Below are 22,735 nucleotides of genomic sequence, written 5' to 3'. Positions count from 1 at the left end.
CTACTGGGGGGAAAACAAAGCCAGGCACGGTGGCTCACACCTGTAATCCCAGCACTTTGGGAGGCCGAGGCAGGCGGATCACCTGAGGTCAGGAGTTCCAGAAAAGCCTGGCCAATAAGGTGAAACCCCGTCTCTACTTAAAATACAAAAATTAGCCAGGCGTGGTGATGCACGCCTGTAATCCCAGCTACTCGGGAGGCTGAGGCAGAAGAATCACTTGAACCCAGAAGGCAGAGGTTGCAGTGAGCCGAGATCTTGCCACTGCACTCTAGTCTGGGCAACGGAACAAGACTCCATCTCAAAAAAAAAAAAAAAAAAAAAGTAAATCATATTATTTCCCTGCCTAAGACCTGTCAACTGCCACTGTCACATAAAATAAAACCCAAACTCCTTTCCATGAGCCACCTAAGGCCCTACATAATCTTGTCTCTGTCTTCCCCTCACCATCCAGGCTGGTAGCCACTTGCTGGGCCTCCAACAAGGCAAGCCCCAGTCCACCCCAGGTCCTTTGCACATCATCTATTCTCCCACAGGGATTTCCAAGGTTGCTCCTTTTTATTAAATATCATCACCGCCTGCAGGAGAGGATAGGTTCCCTGACCACCCTATTTTAAAAGCCTCCCCCAGCCTCCTCCCAGGCCCTACCACATCTCTGTTTTCTTTCCTTGGTGGGTCTCATCTTAATCTGGAACTACCTGGTCTATTTGCTCAGGTGTTGTTTGTCTTCTGCAATAGAACGTAAGCTCCATGAAGGCTTCTCAGTGCTTCAGTTTCCTCAACTATGAAATGCAGACAATCATACTTTACTTCATCAAAGCTGTTATGGGGAGCATTACTTTAAAAAAAAAATCCAGTGCTGGTTCTCTCAATACCTAGAACAGTGCCTGGCACGAAGTTGACACTCAATATAGTACAAAGAATACTTTATATTTAATCTTCTCATTAGCCCTATCAATAGAGATTTATCATCTTCAATTTGGAAATGACGAGACTGAGGTTCAGATATAAGCAACTCATCCAAGGTGGAATGAGGACAGAAACTTGGGTCTCGCTATGTCAAAGATCCTTATTCTTATTCTTAACCACTATACTGCACGGTTTTCTGATAAACGGCAGTATGGTTAAGTGGGTAAGAGCTTGGACCCGAGAACAAAACTGTGCAGGTTCAAATCCCACCACAGCTGCTTGGCATCTGTGACCCACCTGAGTTGTCTGGGTTTGGTATTCCTCCCTATTTTCATCCCTAAAGTAGGGAAACTAAGTACCGACCTCCAGACCCCTGCGGGGAAGGAGTAAGGACAGGACGCTAATAAACGTAACCTCTGGGAAGGTTTGTTATTACTTGACAACATGTTTTCTGCCAACGTAAGCGGGTAATGACGCTAAGCCACAAGTCAAACGCTGCAAGCAGGAGCGTCACCCGGTTTCTACTGAGCCGTCACCACAACCCTATGAGGTAGGAATTTCTATTATCTCTATTTCACAGATGAGGAAACTGTGGAGATCGCTAAGATCTCTTCTTTCCGCCTCCAAGCCCAAGGAATTCTAAAGCTAACCCAAAGGAACGACCTTGTTTGTTTACTGACACCTCCTCGGACCGAATGGTCAGGGCTGTATCCGGAACACAGAGTTGGCTCGGTAAACACTGAATGGTTGCCTGAATAAATGAATGAGGAATCCCTGGCCTCGCCGGGCAGAGGCTAATCCGGTTCAGCTGCGAAGTGGGGGCTCCGGCAGGCGCAGGTGCCCTCCCTGCCCATCGGGGCGGGCCGCCGATCCCGAGCCTCGCTGTCCAATGGGTTTCTGCTCCCTCGCGGGTGGTCAGGCCCCCCTTCTCACGCCCACCACGCAGTCCCTGCCGCGAGCCGCCACTACACCCGACGCGCGGACAGGTGTTTCTTCCGTAGGAGGCCTCCCAGGCCCGGATAGGGCAGGTCGGCTGGACCCTGAGTCACCGCCGCCAGCGTCGGCCGCGGCCTCCCCAACTCCCAGGTGTCAGGTCAAGGAAGTCAGAGTCCGGGGTCGGCCTGGAGCCGGCTGCCCCTCCTCCCCGCCCGAGTCCCGAGAGGCCTCCAGCTGCTAGGCACAGCGCGGCGCGGGCCTCCTTGGCCTACTCGGGAATCTAGCCCAGGCCCACGTCGTGAGTGCGGTCCGGCTCAAGCCCCAGCTCGGGCACTGCCAAGACGGGACTCACCTCTCCGCGGGGGCCGAGCGCGGACGGCGGCAACGGCCCAGTTACCCGCGGGCTGCAGAGACGGCGGCGGCCCGGCTCTCCTCTCAGGCGGCGGCCATGTTGCTGGTGGAGAAACTCCGGCGGACACGTGGGGGGGAGCGGGCCGGCCCCAGCGTTTCCTCTTACCCACAATGCCCCGCCCCGGTGCACGCGGCTCCGCCCCCTCCGCCGCGCCATTCATGCAGGCCGTGAGCCCCGCCCTGCAGCAGGGGGCGCTGATGGCACGCGCAAAACTGAGCCAGGAGTGTATGCAGCGGGGACAAAAAGACAGCAACCCTGGCAGCGGTGGGATTCGAACCCACGCCCCCGAAGAGACTGGAGCCTTAATCCAGCGCCTTAGACCGCTCGGCCACGCTACCCAGCTGCAATATGTTTATGCCAGAAAGCTACTTAATGCTTTTGCTTTTGCATTTAATCTGGACATTGCGAGGCGTTTTCGCTGAGGTTTTTTTTTTGCTTAACGTGTGTTCAAGGTGATCCCTATAGAATTATTTTAAAAAGCCGTGTTTTGGAAAATAAACACTTGCTCCAGTCTTTAGACCCAGGTTGGTTCCGAATAGGTATTAGAGCAAAACGCATTTTTAGAAACTTTACTCTGAGTTGGATGGTTAACCCGGAGACCCCTGGTTAACCCACAGGTAATCCATACGACCCGGATTGGGTGTCTCCGGGAGAAGAAATTGATCTGATCAGAAACATGCACCAGGGGATCTGACGGCCAAACCCTGGAGCTGGTCTGGGCAGTTGTCTCTGAAAAATTATGTTTAAATTTTTACTTACACAAATAACACGCGAATTATTGCAAAATATTTAAACTTTGCAGATAAGGTACAAATGCTCTTTGACCTTGACTCGCATCCTAGGCCCCTCCGCCGAGGTAACTAACCATTATTATCTGTTTAATATGAACTATGGTTTGAATGTGTCCCCCAAATTTCATGTGTTGGAAATTTAATCCCCAATGTGGCAGTATTGTGTGGTGGGCCCTTTAAGAGGTGATTAGATCATGAGGGTGGAGCCCTTATGAATGGATTAATCTCTTCATGGATTCATGGATTAATGGGTTAATGGATTAATGGGTTATCTTGGGAGGGGGACTGATGGCTTTATAAGAAGAGGGAGAGAGACCTTAGCTAGCAAGGGAGCAGCTCAGCACCCCCTCCATATGATGGCTTGTACTGCCTGGGAACTCTGCAGGTGTCCCCCACCAGCAAGAAGGCCCTCACCAGATGCACACTCTTGACCTTGGACTTCTCAGACTCCATAACTGTAAGAAATAACTTCCTTTTCTTTACAAATTACCCAGTTTCAGGTATTCTGTTATAAGCAACAGAAAATGGACTAAAACACTATATATCTTTCTAGATCTTTTGCTGTGAATTTATATGTTTATATCTATATGGATATATATAGATATAGCCATAGAAGATAGCTTTGTTTTTATTGTGTATGGATTTGAACACAAATATTGTCACATTATTCATATAGATCTGCAATTGGCTGTTATTTTTCACCAGACTGTATTTTAAAATACCTATCCGTGTGGATATGCAAAGATATTAAAAACAAAAATGCACAAAAATTACAAAGAAAAAAATTATCATCCATAGTGCCACCACCTGGCATTAAATTAATGACTTAGTATTGTGGCATTTTTTTCCTTTTCTTTTTTCTTTTCTTTTTTTTTTTTTTTTTTTTTTTTTTTTTTGATGTGGAGTCTCGCTCTTGCTGTCTAGGCTGGAGTGCAGTGGTGCGATCTCCGCTCACTGCAATCTCTGCCTCCTGGGTTCAAGCGTCTCTACTAAAAATACAAAAATTAGCCTGGCGTGGTGGCACATGCCTGTAATCCCAGCTACTCGGGAGGCTGAGGCGGGAGAGTTGCTTGAACCCGGGAGGCGGAGGTTGCAGCGAGCCGAGATCCCACCACTGCACTCTAGCCTGGGCGACAGTGAGAAACTCGGTCTCAAATAAATAAATAAATAAATAAATAAATAAATAAATAAATAAATAAAAAATAGATCACACTATTACAAATAGAAATTATTAGACCATTGCAAATAGAAATAAGTCCCCCTCCCATTCTCCCCTGTCTATAACTGTCATGAATTTGATGTGTATCTTTCCAATAATTTCTTACATTTTTACTATAAAATTTATGAATAATATCTAAAATGGTTATCTGTATGTTTTTCACTTATATAAATGTTAGCACATTGTACTGATATCCTAAAACTTGCTTTTCTCATTTCAACAGTATTATTATTATTATTATTTTAAGAGAGTGTTGCTCTGTCACCCAGGCTAGAGTACAGTGGTGCAATCATAGCTTACTGTAGCCTAGACCTCCCGGGCTCAAGCCATCCTCCCACCTCAGCTTCCCAAGTAGCCAAGATTACAGGCATGAGAGACTGTGCCAGGCCCAACATTATGTTTTTGAGGTCTGTTATGATGCCTATAGATCTAATTCATTCATTCCATGCCATGTACAACTTTTAAGTTGTTACTAAATTTTTGTCATTACACACAATATGGCAGGAAGTATCCTTGCACATGGCTCCTTGTCTTACGTATGGACATTTCTCTAGGGTATACACTAGAAATGAAATTGCTGGTCTATATTTATACTTTCCCTAGTATTATATAATAATAATATTAATAATAGGCTGGTCTCAGTGGCTCACTCCTATAATCCTAGCACTTTGGGAGACTGAGGTGGCAGGATTGCTTGACGCCAGGAGTTCAAGACCAGCCTAAGCAACATCGAGAAACCTTGTCTCTACCAAAAAACAAAAGAAAAGAAATTAGCCGGGCATGGTGGCATGTGCCTGTAGTCTCAGCTACTTGGGAGGCCGAGGTGGGAAGATCCTTTGAGCCAGGGAGGTCAAGTCTGCAGTGAGCCGAGATTCAGGTGCTGCACTCCAGCCTGGGTGAGAGAGTGAGACCCTCTCTATATAGATATAGATATGCATATATTTTTCCATTTTGCCAAATTATATGACTTTTGATGACTTTTTTTTTTTTTCTATTTCTTCCTGAGTCAACTTTGGCAAGTTGTCGTTTTCTGGGAAAACAAAGCCCCATTACTTGATTTTTCACATTTATTGGCGTAAGAAATCTCAAATATCCCTCATATCTAAGGTTTTGTCCTCTATCATTCTCTATCGTTTCTCTTTCCCTCTGTCATTTACGTGGATTACTTTCTCCATTAGTTCTGTTCAACACAGGGAGTGGAGTCAATGCTTAAGGTGACTGAATGGGGGAATTAGGCAGGAACTCTACGAACGCTGGTGATGCTTTAGACACATCAAAAACTATATAAATCACACTTTTATAAGTAGAATTCTCATTTTGCATTGACTGGTATTAGACTTTTCAGGGCCATGATTCAAGTTTCTGGCTAATATCCAGTTGGTACACACCCCTAACATTTGGGCATTTTATGTCTTTCCTCTTCAATCCCTCCTTAGCCTGGCTTTTCTCCCCCTCCATCCACCACCTTTTTTTTTTTTTTTTTTAGAGAGACGGGGTCTTGCTTTGTTGCCCAGGCTGGAGTACAGTGGTATGATCACAGCTCACTGCAGCCTTGACATCCTGGGCTCAAATGATCCTCCCATCTCAGCCTCCCAAGTAGCTGGGACTAGAGCCACGCGCCACCACACTGGGCTAACTTTTGTATTTTTGTAGAGACGGGGTCTTGCTTTGCTGCTTAGGCTGATCTCAAGCTATCCTCCCACCTCAGCCTCCCAAAGTGCTAGAATTACAGGAGTGAGCCACCACACCTGGCCATCCATCTACCTTTAACATATGTAATGATATGCAAAGATTTTCTTGTGCTAGAAAAGTTTGTTGCTCTTCAAGACATTAAAAAAAAATACAGAAGCAGCCATGGATTGAAGACAAAGGGTAGGCATTGTGGGGAGTTCAAAGCTGAATGAGGAATAACCCCTTTAAGTCAATAGGAGTGTTTGTCATGGTATTTTAGTACCAGGAAGGACTTTGTTTGTGAGTTGGGTACTGGATTTTCCAAAAGGAAATATCCTCACAGTCAAGGATAATTGCTGGCATCTTTGCCCAGTCTGATTTTTCTAGGAACTGCCTGACCAGCCAGAGAGTGGGTCCCTGGCAGCCACCTTTGTGCTGCACGCCCCACCCCCACAGCCATGGCTAGTGGGTTCTACCGTTCTTCAGTGGACGTAGGATTCAGGTTGGACCAATCAAATTCTCTCTTGAGAATGTGAACTGAGACTCCGTGAGTTACTGATTTTGTTTTTTTTTTGTTTGTTTGTTTGTTTTGAGACAGAGTCTCGATCCATTGCCTAGGCTGGAGTGCACTGGCGTGATCTCGGCTCACTGCAACCTCTGCCTCCCAAGTTCAAACAATTATCCTGCCTCAGCCTCCCAGGTAGTTGGGATTACAGATGCACGCCACCATGCCGGGCTAATTTTTTTGTGTTTTTATTAGAGATGGGGCTTCACCATGTTGGCTAGGCTGGTTTCGAACTCCTGACCTCAAGTGATCTGCCCACCTCAGCTTCCCAAAGTGTTAGGATTACAGGCGTGAGCCCCCGCACCCGGCCCGATTTGTTAATTTGACCGTGTTGCGTTGGAATTAGTCTCTGAGGCTGGCTAAAACTAGGAAGAAAGGGGGATTTCGCATGGCTATATTCTGTGAGGTGAGTTGGAGAGGTAGACAAAAGCCAGTGTATAGAAAAAGAGGGAATGAGAGAGTGAGAAGAGCAGAGTCAGGGAAATCCTGATGGTTTTCTGGCTTCCAGCTCCAGACCCTTTCCAAGGCCCAGTGGGTTGTCCACTCTTGGAGGCATCCCTTTATCACTGTAATAAATTCCCTTTCTCTGCTAAAGCCCAGTGCTACTTGGTAGTTGTCAACTGTAAACAATAACCCCCTCCCCCTTGCAAGGCAAAGGCTCAAATGAAGCTGTGTGTGTGTCTTTGTGTGTGTGTGTGTGTGTGTGTGTGTGTAGAATTTTTTTTTTTTTTTTTGAGACAAGTTCTTGCTCTGTTTCCCAGGCTGGAGTGCAGTGGCACAATCATTGCTCACTGCAGCCTTGACCTTCTGTGCTAAAATGATCCTCCCATCTTAGTCTCCTTAGTTGCTGGGACTGCAGGAGCATGACACCATGCCTGGCTACTTAAAATTTTTTTTTTTTTCACAGAGACAGGGGTCTCGCTATGTTGCCAGGACCGGTCTTGAACTCCTAAGGCTGAGATATTTCTGCTAGAACATTCTGGAGCAACTTGTCTCTTTCTACAAACACATACTGAGCAGGATGCTTAATTAAGAGGAAGCCTGCAGGGAAACAGCTGATCCTGGAAGGCACAGCACCCTTTTGAGAGTTTCTTACAGTCCAGCAGCCCCTTACACAGTTTTCTCATGACAATCAGACATGAAATCAATGAGCAAGAGATGCAGAATGTTGCATCAGAACCCCTGGACCTACAAGGTCTCAGCAGCGGGATGCCTGACAAGGGAGGGATGGGCTGAAACTCCGACTATTCTTTGTGTGCCTGTCCCTATATCATAAACACTAGGCTGTGGATAGTGGAAATGGGTGTGGGGTCTCAGTCCTGGATCCCCTCCATTCTTTCCTCCCTTGCTCCCATAAAAGGAAAATGCTCTCAAACCTGGCCTGAGACCATATCTTTCTGTAAGAACCTCCTTCTGGAAAGAAACTAGCATTTCTGATAAATGCTCGAGCATTGAGCATTTTTCTTTTGAAATTTAAGAGCATTGAGATTTACACTGGGAAACTAGCTTTCTACTCACTCAGTTGATGGTCATTTGTCAGTCAAGAGTGCAGTGACCTTTAACGGAACATTCTTTTCTTTTCTATTTTGTCTAACAGTGATTATCTAATCATTTTCTTCTCCTAGAAAATGTCTCTATCAAGATAGAGGTCAGAAGAGTGGCCAACATTTTTCGGGGTGGAGAGAGGGTGTATTGCCTGGGAAGGGGTCCAGGGGGGCTTCTGTAGGCCTGCAAATGTTCTAATATCTTGAATTGGGTTGTTAAGACACAGATGTGTACAAATGTAAAAATTCATCAACCTGTATACTTAAGAGCGTGCAGTTTAATCTACATAGGCAGACTGTAATAAAAAATAAATTTTTAGAAAATGTCCCTACCAAGTATAAATCTTTGAATTCCCAGTGGGTTTACACTTGCAGCAAGACTGTGATTTTTTTTTTTTAAGATATGGGCTTTCACTGTGTTGACCAGGATGGTCTTGAACTCCTGGCCTCAAGCAATCCTCCCATCTTGGCCTCCCAAAGTGCCAGGGTTACAGGTGTGAGCCACCACGCCCGGTCAAGACTGTAATAAAATTTTGACGTATGCTGTAACAAAACCAACAGAAAAGTTTTCTTTATTAACTTCTCTCTAATCTTTTTTTTTTTTTTTGAAATGGAGTCTCATTCTGTCACCCAGGCTGGAGTACAGTGGTGTGATCTCGGCTGACTGCAACCTCTGCCTCCTGGGCTCAAGTGATTCTCCCGCCTCAGCCTGGCTAATTTTTATATTTTTAGTAGAGATGGTGTTTCACCATGTTGGCCAGGCTGGGCTCTAACTCCTGACCTCAAGTGATCTGCCCACCACAGCCTCCCAAAGTGCTGGGATTACAGGTGTGAGCCACGGTGCCAGGCCTCCTCGTGCCAATTTCTCAGCCTTGCAGGACTTGTTCAGCAATGAAAATTGGGTTTTTCTCAGATTTCTCTACTGCTGATCTAGGATCCAGACTTCTTGGGTCTGTTAATTCAATTACAGTCTACCTACTTTCCAGCACCCAAAACTTGCTGTTCAATCCTCTTTCTCTTCATCCTCACCGGCTTATGCTATTTAAAAACAAACAAACAAACAAAAAAACAAACAAAAGAATCCACTTCCTGTCATTGCAGTGGGGATTTAGGAACAAGTGGACCTAAATATGTATGTTCAACCTACCATGCATAGTTATACTAATGTTCAAATTTCTTAAAATTAAAAAAAATTAGCTTAAAACCAAAAGATCAACTGGTAACCAAGATTTTCTTAAGCTTGGAATTAAAAAAGCACTTTAGGCTGGGCGTGGTGGCTCACACCTGTAATCCCAGCACTTTGGGAGGCCAAGGTGAGTAGATCACCTGAAGCCAGGAGTTTGATACCAGCCTGGCCAACATGGTGAAACCCTGCCTCTACTAAAAATACAGAAATTAGCCAGGCATGGTGGTGTGCGCCTGTACTGCCATGCCAGCTACTAGGGAGGTCGAGGCGGGAGAATCGCTTGAACCCGGGAGGCGGAGGTTGCAGTGAGTTGAGATCGCACCACTGCACTCCAGCCCGGGTGACAGAATGAGACCCCATCTTAAAATAAATAAATAAAAATAAAAAAAAACACTTTACCATGTATTATCTTCTCTGAAGCTTACAACTCTGTAATGGTAAAAATTATTCTTCAGGCCGGGCACGGTGGCTCACGCCTGCAATTCCAGCAGTTTGGGAGGCCAAGGCCGGTGCATTGCTTGAGCCCAGGAGTTCGAGACCAGCCTGGGCATGATGGCAAAACCCTGTCTCCACTGGAAGAAAGGAAAAAACAAGATGAAACACAACCTGCCCCCCTTCAAAATTAGCCGGGCGCGGTGGTGCTCACCTGTAGTCCCAGCTACTCGTGAGGAGGCTGAGGTGGGAGGATAACTTGAACCTCGGAGGCAGAGGCTGCAGTGAGCCAAGATCTTGCCACTGCACTCTAGCCTGGGCAACAGAGTGAGACTGTCTGAAAAACAAACAGAAAAACTCTATGTTTTATAGATGAGCAAATGAAGAAACGAGAGGTTCTAATACTTTCTCTAAAGCAAACTGACAGCAGACGAGCCAAATCTGGAAGGCTTTGAAAAGTTATTAGAATTTATTACAAATGTTAAAGAACAGAAGGCCTTGCATTAAAAAAAAAAAAGTTTTCAGCAGCTCTTGAAAAATTGGAAAATAGGGTAACATTGAGCCCGCGCTTCCCATGGTGGCAATCATTTGAAGTTGAATCATGGCTGCCCCTTTCAGATGGGGTATGAGCCTTCTCGTTGACCCCTGCCTGCAGCAGCTTTATTTATTTATTTATTTATTTATTTATTTATTTGAGACAGTCTTGCTCTGTCGCCGAGGCTGGAGTGCAGCGGCGTGATCTCAGCTCACTGCAAGCTCCACCTCCCGGGTTCACGCCTTTCTCCTGCCTCAGCCTCTCGAGTAGCTGGGACTACAGGCGCCTGCCACCACGCCCAGCTTTTTTTTTTTTTTTTTTTTAATGTATTTTTAGTAGAGACGGGGTTTCACCATGTCAGTCAGGATGGTCTCGATCTACTGACCTTGTGATCCGCCTGCCTCAGCCTCCCAAAGTGCTGGGATTACAGGCGTGAGCCACCGCACCCGATCCCCCACCTTTTTTTTTTGAGATGGAGTTTCGCTCTTGTTGCCCAGGCTGGGGTGCAATGACAGGATCTGGGCTCACTGCAACCTCCATCTTCCGGCTTTAAGCAATTCTCCTGTCTCAGCCTCCTGAGCAGATGGGACTACAGGTGTGCGCCACCATGCCCGGCCAATTTTTGTATTTTTAGTACAGACAGGGTTTCATCATGTTGGCCAGGCTGGTCTGGAACTCTTGACCTCAGGTGATCCCGCCCGCCTCGGCCTCCCAAAGTGCTGGGATTACAGGCGTGAGGCACCACGCCTGGCCATTTTTTTTTTTTTTCCAAACCAGGAGACATTTGAGTCTGAGACAGAAAAGAAAGAAAACACTTTATTTGTAAAGAGAAAATGGAACTTAGTACATATGCCAAAATAAATCTGTAACGCAGGCCACTTCTCTGGGCCCCATCTTGAGTAGGTTAAAGGGTCACCTTAGAGACTAGAAACACAATTAAGAGGCACAAATCCACACAGAAAATATGCATATTTTGTCTCCTTTCCCCCCAAAACAAGCTGCATATACTTGTGTAAACTTGTTGATTTGTAAAACATGTCTAGTACTGCAGACAAATGTGTGGGATGAAAGGAAATAAAAGCCATGAAAACAGGGCCAGGTGCAGTGGCTCACGCCTGTAACCCCAATGCTTTGGGAGGCTGAGGTGGGAGGATCACTTGAGGCCAAGGAGTTCAAGACCAGCCTGGGCAACATAGTGAAACTCTGTCTCTGCAAAAAATAATTTTAAAAAATTAGCCAGGCGTGGCTTGGCACGGTGGCTCATGCCTGTAATCCCAGCACTTTGGGAGGCCGAGGCAGGTGGATCACCTAATGTCAGGAGTTTGAAACCAGCCTGGCCAACATGGTGAAACCCCCGTCTCTACTAAAAATACAAACATTAGCTGCGCGTGGTGGCAGGTGCCTGTAGTCCCAGCTACTCGGGAGGCCGAGACAGGGAGAATCGCTTGAACCTGGGAGGCAGAGGTTGCAGTGAGCCAAAACGTGCCATTGCACTTGAATCTGGGCAACAGAGCGAGACTCCACCTCAAAAAAAAAAAAAAAAAAATTAGCCAGATGTGATGGTGCACATCTGTAGTTTTAGCTACTTGAGAGGCTGAGGCAGGAGGATCACTGGGGCCCAGGAGGTTGAGCCTACAATGAGTTATGATCATGCCACTGCACTCCAGCCTGAGTAACAAAGTGAGACCTTGTGTCTTAAAAAAACAAAAACCACTAAAATAGCAACAAGAGCAGTTTACTTGGCTTGGAGGTCAAAGCTGCATTTGATAAATTCCCAGAGTGGTCAGGGGGAGAACAGATATTCAGGAACACTGGGGTTTGGGAGTTTTTTTCGCTTCTTTCTTACACCCATAAAGCCACCTATCCATTCATTCATTTTATTCTCTTGCCTATAGCAAAACTGAAAGGGCCATTAAACTCCAGTTTAAATTTTATTCCCAAGATCCTCTAAATAGCAGCAGCTCTCAAATCCCAGCTCCAGCTTAGTGGCTTGCTAGCAGTGACACTGTGAAAAAAAATCTAGCTGGCAGAACCTCGGTTTCTCCATTTGTGAAATGAAAGTACTGGATGATAATCCTGGCTCTGCCAATTTCCTGGGCTTTCACCTGCTTCTTGCACTTGAAGATGGTCTCTGATATCGTCCCAGTTGGGCTGGAATGTCCTGGGTTTTGCGTTAGGTTTTTGGCATGTCCAGCATTTGCGGAAAAAGAAGATGTCCTAACTATCTTCAGAAGGCACAAAACTAGGGGTTTTTCTTGTTTTTGGTTTCGAGACGGAGTCTCACTCTGTCGCCCAGGCTGGAGTGCAGTGACGCAATCTCGGCTCACTGCAACCTCTGCCTCCTGGGTTCAAGCGATTCTCCTGCCTCAGCCTCCCGAGTAGCTGACTTCAGGTGATCCGCCCACCTCAGCCTCCCAAAGTGGCGTGAGCCACTGCACCCAGCCCAAACTAGGTTTTGAAGGTGGAATAAGTTCTCCTAGCTCAGAAGGATCTCAACCTCTTGCAAGTTACTTTTCACTTTTAAGGGCCCTTAAAGAAGCATTTGCTTAGCTCTGTATCCAGGCCATCTCTCCCTCCCCGAAGAGCAACAGACCAGCAACTGACATTAAGGTCACATGGGTGGGTGGGGAGTAGAATTGCGGGGGTGACAGTTCCAGCCAATCCAGACAACGAATCATTGTTTGGAGGAACCAGAGCCTCAAAGGGTGAGTGCACTGACTAGGGCTGGCTCTCCATCTGTTCACACACTTGTTGAGTGCCTACTCTATGCCAAAGCACTGTGTTTTGGTGCCCTGGGGAACACAAAATTGGGATAGCTCCTGCCCTCAGGGCTTAATAAAGTAGCTCTCAGTCAAGGGTTAGAGCAAGGGTTGACAAACTACAGCCCAAAAGGGCCACCCGTTTGTGTAAATAAAGTTTTATTGGAACACCAGCCACACTCATTCGTGTTCATGTAGTGTCTGTGGCAGCTTTTACATTACAACAGCAGGGCTGAGCATTTGCAGCAGAGGCTATATGGCCTGCAAAGCCTAAAATCTTCACTTTCTACCCCTTTACAAAAAAGTTTGCCAATTCCTGCTAGAGAAGAGATGACATACAACTAAGAACTTAAACGAGTGATCAGGGAACACAAATTATTTACATAATAAAATTTCAGAGAGGGGGGGCTGGCTGAATTTAAAAAGCATGAATTACGTGAGGCTTGATTACTGTGAAGAGATAAGTCAACTTAAAGTTACTTACATTTAACATACAATTTATATGCACTGGTTTAAAACACGCACACACACACACAAAATGTAACACAAGCCAACTACTGATCTGGTACAGATGACAAAAGGGTGATCAGTTCCAACTTCAAAAGGAAAACTGGCTATGATGAGTCCATATTGAAAAAGTCACTGTCATTTATGGGTGGTCCAAGGGATTTTTTTCAAGGGTAATTTTACCTGCTTCATTGTTCATTTAAGGGTACACACTGAACTTTGGAACTAACGCTTGCATGGGTTTGTGCCTCCAAAGCAGTCAACACTGAAGTCTTGGCTGGGCTCAGTGGCTCCTGCCTGTAATCCCAGCGCTTTGGGAGACTGAGGCGGGAGGCTCACTTAAGTCCAGGAGTTCGAGACCAGCCTGGGCAACACAGTGAGACCCCATCTCTATTTCAAAAATTATAAAATAATAAAAAGAAAATAATCTCTCTGCATAAGCAACAACAACAAACCCCACTAAGGTGTTGAAGGACCCATTTTAATGAATAGTTAAGAATGGTTTGTATGTTATACTCTGCTTTTTTATGTTTTGACTTTTAAACAAAGAAAAATAGGCTGCTTTTGCATTTAGGGTTGATCAAAGCAGTCTGTCTTTTTTTTGTTGTTTTGGTAGAGACAGGGTCTCGCCATGTTTACCCAGGCTGGTCTTGAAGTCCTGAGCTCAAGCAATCCTCCCACCTTGGCCCTCCTCAAAGTGCTGAGATTACAGGCGGGAGCCACCGCACCTAGCATCTTTGCTATTTGAAACATCAAATGAAATCATACTAATGTGAGAGCTGAATTCCATTGAAAGGAAAAGCTCATTAAATAACAATCGCCATTGTCTGGCCATGGGGAGACTACTAGAATTAATGAGTGTTTATAGTTCTTGCCCTCTCATCCTCAAACATCTTAGATAAAATCCCAAGAGACTGCTGCTGAAAGCGTCCTGCTGTAAATTACAAGAAAATCAGCCCAGCTTCAAGCAGAAAATGCCAAGGACCAGGGCTGGGGAGCAGATTTCACGTAAGAACATCCAGACACTAAGAAAACACCAAGGAATACTGTATAAGAGACATTGCAGTCACGTTGTGGGAGCTGCCACTGAGATGCAGAGTGTGGGTCTGCTTGGAGAAAAGGCTCTCACATTCCAAGCCGCTGTCCTTACGTGTAAAAGCTTTGAGGTGCACCCTCTTCCACACTAGCTGATGTAGGAGTTAGAGGTAGTAAACGTGTGCATACAAAACTCAAACCTGTTTTGAAAAGCCCACCGTAGAAAGCATGCTTAAAAGATGGAATTCGGCTGTATGCCAGAAAATCAGTAGCATTATGGAAGGAAATTGAACTAGAAGTTTAAAAAACAGCCAACATGCAGGCCCTTCCCCACAGTAGAAGGGAGCCTGGGTATTGTGCAATCTCACACCCACTGAAAAAATGCCACGCATGCCTCTAAATGCTCTGAGAAAGAATGCTTTGCACTAAGCCACGGCAATACACGCCCCGTGACTTAGGAAAGCCAGCGTGAAGTGCTTCATTTCTCATCCCGATGCACAAAACACAGGGCTCCATGGGCCCGACATTTCAGTCCAGCCTGAAAAGACTAGTGAGCACAGCCCTAAAATTGTCCATTCAAGGCAAAAAGCACTTTCTTATATCTCGTGACAAAAAAAAAAAAAGAAATAAAAATGAAAATAGAACCACAAAATGGGCAGGCATGGTGGCTCACACCTGTAATCCCAGCACTTTGGGAGGCTGAGGCAGGTGGATCACCTGAGGTTAGGAGTTCGAGACCAGCCTGGCCAACATGGTGAAACCCCATCTCTACTAAAAATGCAAAAATTAGCTGAGTGTGGTGGTGTGCACCAGTAATCCCAGCTACTTGGGAGGCTGAGGCAGGAGAATCACTTGAACCCAGGAGGCGGAGGTTGCAGTGAGCTAAGATCATGTCACTGCACTCCAGCCTGGGTGACAGAGCAAGACTCTGTCTCAAAACAAACAAACAAACAAACAAAAAAAACCACACACAAAACGGTATGTTGGTTCATTAGGCTGCTTCTTCAAGCCCCACTTCCCCAAAATACTGCCCTAAGAGACAGCTATAGAGTCTCTGCTGGTAGCTGCCAAGGAGCAAAGACATTTTTCAAGAGTCAAAAAATGAAATATAAAATTTGATTTTACAACACACTTAAAAATGCTTCCCCTCCCCAAACTAAATAAGTTGTTGTTGTTGTTTTTTTAATCTTTCCTCCTAGCCCGTTTGCTTGGGACTAGCCGGCAGTGATTTTCCTGGTTACTCCTCCATCTGGGCCCAGGCCTCTTCAGCCTTTTGGTAGTACTGGTTGGCCAGTCGGCCCTTCATGGCTTCCATCGCTGCCTCTGCTGCCTGGGTATACAAGTCCCCTGAAAGACAGCAAAGGGGGGCAAAAAGAGGTGAACCACCTGTTGTTTTTGCCAGCCCAGTGTCCCCCATCACCCCTCCCAGAAGAACACCCTGACGTTTCCTTAAGAACTCAAACTACTCCGTGTGCCCTCTCCCTCCAGGTGTTCCGGGCGGGGCTCTAAAGGTGGGCCTGTGATAAAATCTAGCCAATAATAGCACTCCTCCTATCCCCCACCAAGCTACAGCGATTGGTCCAGATTTAGTCATGGCCAATCAGAGTAAGCCATCTAAACAACTACTGTTGGTTTGGGGTATGTAGATGATTGAGTTTGAGCCAATGAGAATCAGGCTGAGAACTAATTTGAGCCAATGAGAATCAGGGTGAGAACTTTTGCAGAACTAAGTGGGGATGTGCAAAAGTGGAAGAAATAACGACTTACAAACAGCTTCATGTCAGCTAGGTCAGGTTTTACCAAGTGAATTTGTGTAAAACATACAAATATACTTCAGGTTTTTGGAGCTTTTTGGATTTAAAATTTTCAAATAAAAGATTATAGATTTGCATCATTCTTCTTCTTTTTTTTTTTTTTTTTTTTTTGAGATGGAGTCTCACTCTGTCACCCAGGCTGGAGTCCAGTGGCGGAATCTTAGCTCACTGTCACCACTGCCTCTGGGGTTCAAGCGATTCTCCTGCCTCAGCCTCCTGAGTAGCTGGGATTACAGGCACCTGCCACCACGCCCAGCTAATTTTTGTATTTTTAGTAGGGATGGGGTTTCATCATGTTGCCCAGCCTGGTCTCGATCTCCTGACCGCAGGTGATCTGCCTGCCTTGGCCTCCCAAAGTGCTGGGATTACAGGCGCGAGCCACTGCCCAGCCTAGATTTGCATTATTCTTTGTTAATTTTTAAAATATAACTTAAAAACTTTTAAAACTTAGCCTCATCCTATACCTGTGAAATTAGGAACTTAGTATGTTTATTATATGTTAGGGACTGAATGCTGTGTCCCCACTGGGCTCCCCATCCACAAATTCATATGTTGAACTCTTCATTCATGATGTAACTGCACTGTATTTGGAGACACACAGTCTGTGTCTTAGTCCATTTTATGTTGCTATGACAGAATTCCACAGACTAGATAATTTATAATGAAAAGAAATTTATTTGGCTCACAGTTCTAGAGCCCGGCAAGTCCAAGAGCATAGCACCAGCATCTGGCACAGGCCTTGGTGCTGTATCATCCCATGCCAGAAGGCAAAGAGCAAGAGACGTAGAAAGCAAGCGAGCAAGAGGGGGCCAAATTTGCTTTTATAACAAAGCTACTTTTGTGATGACTGACCAATCTGCATGATAACAACATTAATCACCTCTTAACAGTCCCACCTCTTGACACCTTCACAGTGGTGATTACAGTTCAACATGAGACTTGGAGGGGACGTTCATATTCTAGCAGCCTGTGAGGAGGTGATAAAGCTTAAATGAGGTCATAAGGGTAGGGCCCTAATCACACAGAGCTCATTCCCGTTTAGGAAGCAAAAGAGACAGCAGAGCTCTCTTGCTGTCTCCCCACTTGCATCCAGGAGAAAGGTCATGTGAGGACACAGTGAGAAAGCTGTTTTCTACAAGCCAGAAACCAAACTGGCCAGCACCTTGATCTTGGAATTCCCAGCCTCCAGAACTGGGAGAAATAATTTTTTTTGTTGTTTTTTGAGACAGGGTCTCACTCTGTTGCCCAGGCTGAAGTGCGGTGGTATGATCATAGCTCACTGAGTGTGCCACCACACTCAGTTAATTAAAACAATTTCTTTTGTAGAGGTGAGGTTTACCTATGTTGCCCAGGCTGGTCTTGAACTCCTAGACTCAAGTGATCCTCCCATCTTGGCCTCCCAAAGTGCTGGGATTACAGGCATGAGCCACTGTGCCCAGCAATTTTTTTAGTTTAAACCACCCACTCTATAGTATTTTGTTTTGGCAGCCCAAGAAGACTAATACATTATGTAACAGAAAAAATATATATATAACTTGTCTATCAACTGATGAATGGATAAAGGCTGTATATCCACACAATGGAATATTATGTAGTAATAAGAAGGAATGAAGTACTGATAACACACTTCAACACAGATGAATCTTGAAAAAGTTATGCTAAATGAAAGAAGCAGATACAAAAAGCCACAAATTGTATACTCCCAGTTATATAAAATCTCCAGAATAGGCAAATCTATAGGGACAAAAAGTATAGTGGCTGCTAGGTTCGGGGAGGACTGCTAACTGGTACGGGATTTCTTTTTGGGGTGATGGAAATGTTCTGGAATTACATAGCAGTGATGATTGTACAACATTATGACTATACTAAAACCCACTAGGACCAGGTGCAGTGGCTCACATCTGTAATCCAAAGACTTTGGGAAGCCAAGGCAGCAGATTGCTTGAGGCTAGGAGTTCAAGACCAGCCTGGGCAACATAGCAAGACTCTGTCACTACAAAGAACTTTTAAAAATTGGCTGGGTGTGGAAGCAAGTGCCTGTAGTCCCAGCTGCTTGGGAGGCTGAGGCAGGAGAATTGCTTGAGCATAGGAGTTCCAGGCTGGAGTGAGCTATGATTGTGCCACTGCACTCCAGCCTGAGTGACACAGTGAGATTCTATTTCAAAGAAAAAAGAAAGAAAGAAAAGGAAAGGAGGCCAGGCATGGTGGCTCACACGTATAATCCCAGCACTTTGGGAGGCTGAGGCGGGCAGATCACCTGAGGTCAGGAGTTCAAGACCAGTCTGGCCAACATGGTGAAACCCCATCTCTACTAAAAACAGAAAAATTAGCTGGGTGTGTGCCTGTAGTCCCAGCTATGCAGGAGGCTGAGGCACAAGAATCACCTGAACCTGGGAGGTGAAGGTTGCAGGGAGCAGAGATGGCCCACTCCAGCCTGGGCTACAAGAGTGAAACTCTGGGCCAGGTGTGGTGGCTCACGCCTGTAATCCAGCACTTTGGGAGGCCGAGGTGGGCCGATCACTTGAGGTCAGGAGTTCGAGACCAGCCTGGCCAACATGGCAAAACCCTGTCTCTACTAAAAATACAAAAATCAGCTGTGCATGGTGGCACACCTGTAATCCCAGCTACTCAGGAGGCTGAGGCAGGAGAATCGCTGGAACTCGGGAGGTGGAGGCTGCAGTGAGCCAAGATTATGCCGTTGCACTCCAGTCTGGGCTATAGAGCGAGACTCCGTCTCAAAAAAAAAAAAAAAAAAAGAAAGAAAGGAAAGGAAAACCCCCCTACTAAACTATATACTTTAAGATGGTGAATTTTGTTATGAAAATCTCAATTCAGTTTTTAAAATTGCAAAAACCCCCTACAAAGCCGTAATATATAACCATTAAAATAACAATGTTCATCTTCATACTAGCTCCATAAATTCCCCTCCCTGGAAGAAGATTCAGCCTGTCATCTTGTCATAAATAACTCCCAGTGGAATGGAAATTAGGTTCCTCCCTGCCCAGCCCTGTTGCAGCCCAGGGGCAGGTCTGCCAGGCCCTACCTGATCTCTGCGGGTCCTTCTCCAGCCCGTAGCCTCCTGTGAACAGCATCTCGGCCTCCCTGGCCAGCATCATGTACCGGGGCTCGTCCTGCATTCCGTCGTACTCACCGCCCTCATCACAGTCCGTCATCTCCAGGGCAGTGTTGTACCAGTGCAGGGCCTCTAGCCAGTCTTGGCACCTTGCCAGGAGATACAGAGGGAAAGGTGGAGGTTACCATGGCAACAGGGTGGCAGGAGGAGGGCCTTCCAGCAGGAGGGGCAAGTCAGGGATCCCAGCAGGGCCACCACCTATGGTTCACGACCTATCTTGTCCAAGGCCAATACATCTATGAGGCACCTTCATACTGTGATATTCATTCACTCATTCATTCATTCATTTTTGAGACAGAGTCTTGCTCTGTTGCCCAGGCTGGAGTGCAGTGGTGCAATCTCGGCCCACTGCAGCCTCCGCCTCTCAAGTTCAAGCAATTCTCCTGTCTCAGCCTCCTGAGTAGCTAGGATTACAGGTGCACGCCACCACACCCAGCTAATTTTTTGTATTTTTAGTAAAGACGGCATTTCACCACGTTGGCCAGGCTGGTCTCGAACCCCTAACCTCGAGTGATCCACATGCCTAGGCCTCCCAAAGTGCTGAGATTACAGGCATGAGCCACTGTGCTCGGCCAATATTTATTAAGAGAGCAGTTGACCAGCCCAGGCAACGTAGAGAGACCGTGTCTCTACAAAAAAACAAAAACACAACAAAAAAACAGTGACTATAGTCAAAAATAATGTAATTGTATATTTTAAAATAACTAAAAGAGTATAAAGAAATTGTTTATACCACAATGAATAAATGCTTGAGATGATGGATATCCCATTTATCCTGATGTGATTATTACACATTCCATGCCCATATCAAAATAGCTCATGTAACCCATATACACACTTACTATGTACCCACAAAAATTAAAAAATACAATAAACACACAAAAAGCTGGGTGTGGTGATGGACACCTGTAGTCCCAGCTACTCCGGAGGCTGAGGTGGGAGGATAGCTTGAGCCCAGGAGTTAGAGGCTGCAGTGAGCTATGATCATGCCACTGCACTCCAGCCTGGGCAATAGAGTATAACCCTGTGTTAAAAAAAAAAAAAAAAAAAGAGGAGTCAAGTTGCTTTCCTTAATAAAATCAGTATATTACAACAATTTTCCCATAGATGAAAGTAAAGGGCAGCTTAGCTAGGACACCCCCTTGAGGAAGGGGCCCATTTTTACAGTCTACACAGAGGCAGCCATGAGCTAGCATTAGCAATGCCTGAGTGTCCTAGCTAAGCTGCCCTCTGACTTGTAGAGAAGTGGATTGGGGGCGGGGTCCTCTGCAGAGGCCTCTAGAGCCATCTGCACTAATGGCAATCACCGTATGCTCTGCTGTGCGGGACAGCTGTGAATTTTGTTATGTAAAATTGCCTCCAGCACAATGCAGAACTCACCCCAGAATAGTTGAGTCTCCACTTCCAGCTCTGCCCGTCGACCCTCAACTCCTCCTACTGCAGCCCATGTATGGCCAAACCAGCCAGGGCACACAAAGTTTCCAGCCAAACCCACGCACCACAGAATACACAGCAAACAGGGCGGAGGGCTCTTTTTCTTTGGGTGTAATCCGTGTGAGTAACTATTTATAGTATATCAGGAAAGAGCAAATACAGCGACACAGGTAAGAAGGCCTGTGGGTCTCGTGAAACATTCCAGAAGCAATAGGTCTGATGACTTGCTGTCCCTGCCTTGCTGCCACAGTGCCCTCTGCGGCCCTGTCTGACAGGCGCTGCCCTCCAGGACGGTCTCCTGTTTGTCTACCTTTGCACCAGGCTCACCGGCTGCCATCCATTCCCCAACGATGCCTGCTCCTGCCTGCTCTGTGGCCCTTGCACCCGCTGTTCCCTCACCTTGGAAGATTCTTCCTCCAACTCTTTCTGCACCTGGCTCCTTGCTCTGGTTGGAACGTGTGTCCCCTCCAAAACCCATGTTGAGATTTGCTTGCCATTGTGAGGTATTAGGAGTTGGGATCTTTGAGAGGTGATTGGGCTTTGATGGTTCTGCCCTCATGAATGGATTTCTGCCAGTATGAGGAAAGTGGATTTGTTATAAAAGGGCGAGTTCAGCCCCCTTTTGCTCTCTCTTTTTTCTTTTCTTGAGATAGCGTTTCACTCTGTTGCCCAGGCAGGAGTGCAGTGGCACAATCATAGCTCACTGCAGCCTCAAAGTCCTGGGATCCAGCAATCCTCCCATTTTAACCTCCTGAGTAGCTGGGATGACAGGGGCATGTCACCACGCCTGGCTAATTTTTAAAATTTTTTTATAGAGACACACTCTTACCAGGTTGCCCAAGCTGGTCTTGAACTCCTGGACTCAAGTGATTTTCCTGCCTCAGCCTCCCAAAGTGCTGGGATTACAGGCATAAGCCACCGTGCTTGACCTGCTCTCCCTCTCCTTCTCTTCTGCCAGGTGATGACACAGCAAGAAGGCCCATGCAAGACGCTGGCATACTGATATTAGACTTCCCAGCCTCCAGAACTAAGAGCCAGCAAATTTCTGTTCATGAGAAATTCCTCAGCCTCAGATATTCTGTTACCAGCACAGAACAGGCTAAGACACTCATCATCCCTCCAATCTCAGCTCACATATCACCTCTTTAGAGATTCTGCCCCCAAACACTGTTTCTTACAACTACCAAAATCTTTAATTCTCCTTATTCACTTGTTTATCATGGTGTCCCTTGACTAGAAGGTAAGCCCCATGAAGGCAGGAGACCCTTGTCTATTTTGCTGTATTTGTCTACTGCATTCCCAGGGTCTGGCAAACAGCATAGTGTCAATAAATGTCTGGTAAATGAAAAAAAGCAAGCAAGTGGCTGGCTGGGATGGTGCTCAGGAAATAATCTTGACTTTATTTTATCTTATTAAAAAATGGCCAGATATGGCTCATGCCTGTGATCCCAGCACTTTGGGAGGCCTAGGTTGGAGGATCTCTTGAGCCCAGGAGTTTGAGGCCAGCCTGGGCAACATGGCAAAACCCCAGCTCTACAAAAAATACAAGTTAGTTGGGTATGGTGGTGCATGGCTATGGTCCCAGCTACTCGAGAGGCTGAGGCGGGAGGATAGCCTGAGCCTGAGAGGTTGAGACTACAGTGAGCTATGATTACACCATCGCACTCTAGCCTGGGTGACAGAGCAAGATTGTGTCTCAAATAAATAAATAAATAAAAGTTAAATTTAAAAAATGGACCATTTGAAAATTATTGGTGACATGCTCAACAAACTTTTGTTTTTGTTTTAAGACGGCATTTCATGCTTGTTGCCCAGGCTGGAGTGGAATGATGTGATCTTGGCTCACTGTAACCTCT

At 46.0% G+C, this 22,735-nt stretch overlaps 2 protein-coding genes and 1 non-coding gene across 11 annotated transcripts in view, besides 6 other annotated features; all 3 read right to left on the bottom strand.

Annotated features, from left to right (window-relative positions):
• The window catches only part of POLR3E (RNA polymerase III subunit E), a 37,688-nt gene extending 35,365 nt beyond the window's left edge, over positions 1–2,323 (bottom strand). For 8 of the 9 annotated variants that reach the window (NR_047581.2, NM_018119.4, NM_001258033.2 and 5 more), the window contains exon 1: positions 2,195–2,323. The gene's annotated coding sequence lies outside the window, so the exon portion shown is untranslated. Of the gene's footprint in view, positions 1–695; positions 1,312–2,194 lie in introns of those variants that run through there. The other variant, XM_047434362.1, reaches the window with a different exon arrangement.
• Positions 1,103–1,242: a silencer, noted in NCBI's record as "silent region_7267". NCBI's record gives its function as "represses an Ori minimal core promoter by ATAC-STARR-seq in GM12878 lymphoblastoid cells {active_cell/tissue: GM12878}" and the evidence as "EXISTENCE:reporter gene assay evidence [ECO:0000049][PMID:35858748]".
• Positions 1,453–1,592: an enhancer, noted in NCBI's record as "active region_10570". NCBI's record gives its function as "activates an Ori minimal core promoter by ATAC-STARR-seq in GM12878 lymphoblastoid cells {active_cell/tissue: GM12878}" and the evidence as "EXISTENCE:reporter gene assay evidence [ECO:0000049][PMID:35858748]".
• Positions 2,035–2,579: an enhancer, noted in NCBI's record as "H3K27ac hESC enhancer chr16:22308474-22309018 (GRCh37/hg19 assembly coordinates)". NCBI's record gives its function as "activates a minimal SCP1, AML or CMV promoter by ChIP-STARR-seq in naive H9 embryonic stem cells {active_cell/tissue: H9 hESC(naive)}" and the evidence as "EXISTENCE:reporter gene assay evidence [ECO:0000049][PMID:30033119]".
• Positions 2,035–2,702: a biological region, named in NCBI's record as "H3K27ac hESC enhancer GRCh37_chr16:22308474-22309018".
• Positions 2,253–2,702: a silencer, noted in NCBI's record as "silent region_7266". NCBI's record gives its function as "represses an Ori minimal core promoter by ATAC-STARR-seq in GM12878 lymphoblastoid cells {active_cell/tissue: GM12878}" and the evidence as "EXISTENCE:reporter gene assay evidence [ECO:0000049][PMID:35858748]".
• Positions 2,511–2,592, bottom strand: TRL-AAG2-4 (tRNA-Leu (anticodon AAG) 2-4). The gene has a single exon. It is a non-coding gene; the product is annotated as a tRNA-Leu (tRNA).
• The window catches only part of EEF2K (eukaryotic elongation factor 2 kinase), an 82,461-nt gene continuing 70,719 nt past the window's right edge, over positions 10,994–22,735 (bottom strand). The window contains exons 17-18 of the mRNA NM_013302.5: positions 19,356–19,534; positions 10,994–15,845 (exon numbers count right to left, since the gene is read on the bottom strand). Of these exons, the coding sequence (NP_037434.2) occupies positions 15,736–15,845; positions 19,356–19,534 (289 nt within the window). The 3' untranslated portion in view covers positions 10,994–15,735. The remainder of the gene's footprint in view (positions 15,846–19,355; positions 19,535–22,735) is intronic.
• Positions 17,150–17,444: an enhancer, noted in NCBI's record as "tiled region #4253; K562 Activating DNase matched - State 5:Enh". NCBI's record gives its function as "activates a minimal TATA promoter and a strong SV40 promoter by Sharpr-MPRA in K562 cells {active_cell/tissue: K562}" and the evidence as "EXISTENCE:reporter gene assay evidence [ECO:0000049][PMID:27701403]".

The sequence above is a fragment of the Homo sapiens genome, chromosome 16 (genome assembly GCF_000001405.40).
Source record: "Homo sapiens chromosome 16, GRCh38.p14 Primary Assembly".
NCBI classification, from domain to species: domain Eukaryota; kingdom Metazoa; phylum Chordata; class Mammalia; order Primates; family Hominidae; genus Homo; species Homo sapiens.
The sequence above is the reverse complement of the archived record's forward strand: the minus strand, read 5'-3'. Positions and strand labels throughout refer to the sequence as shown.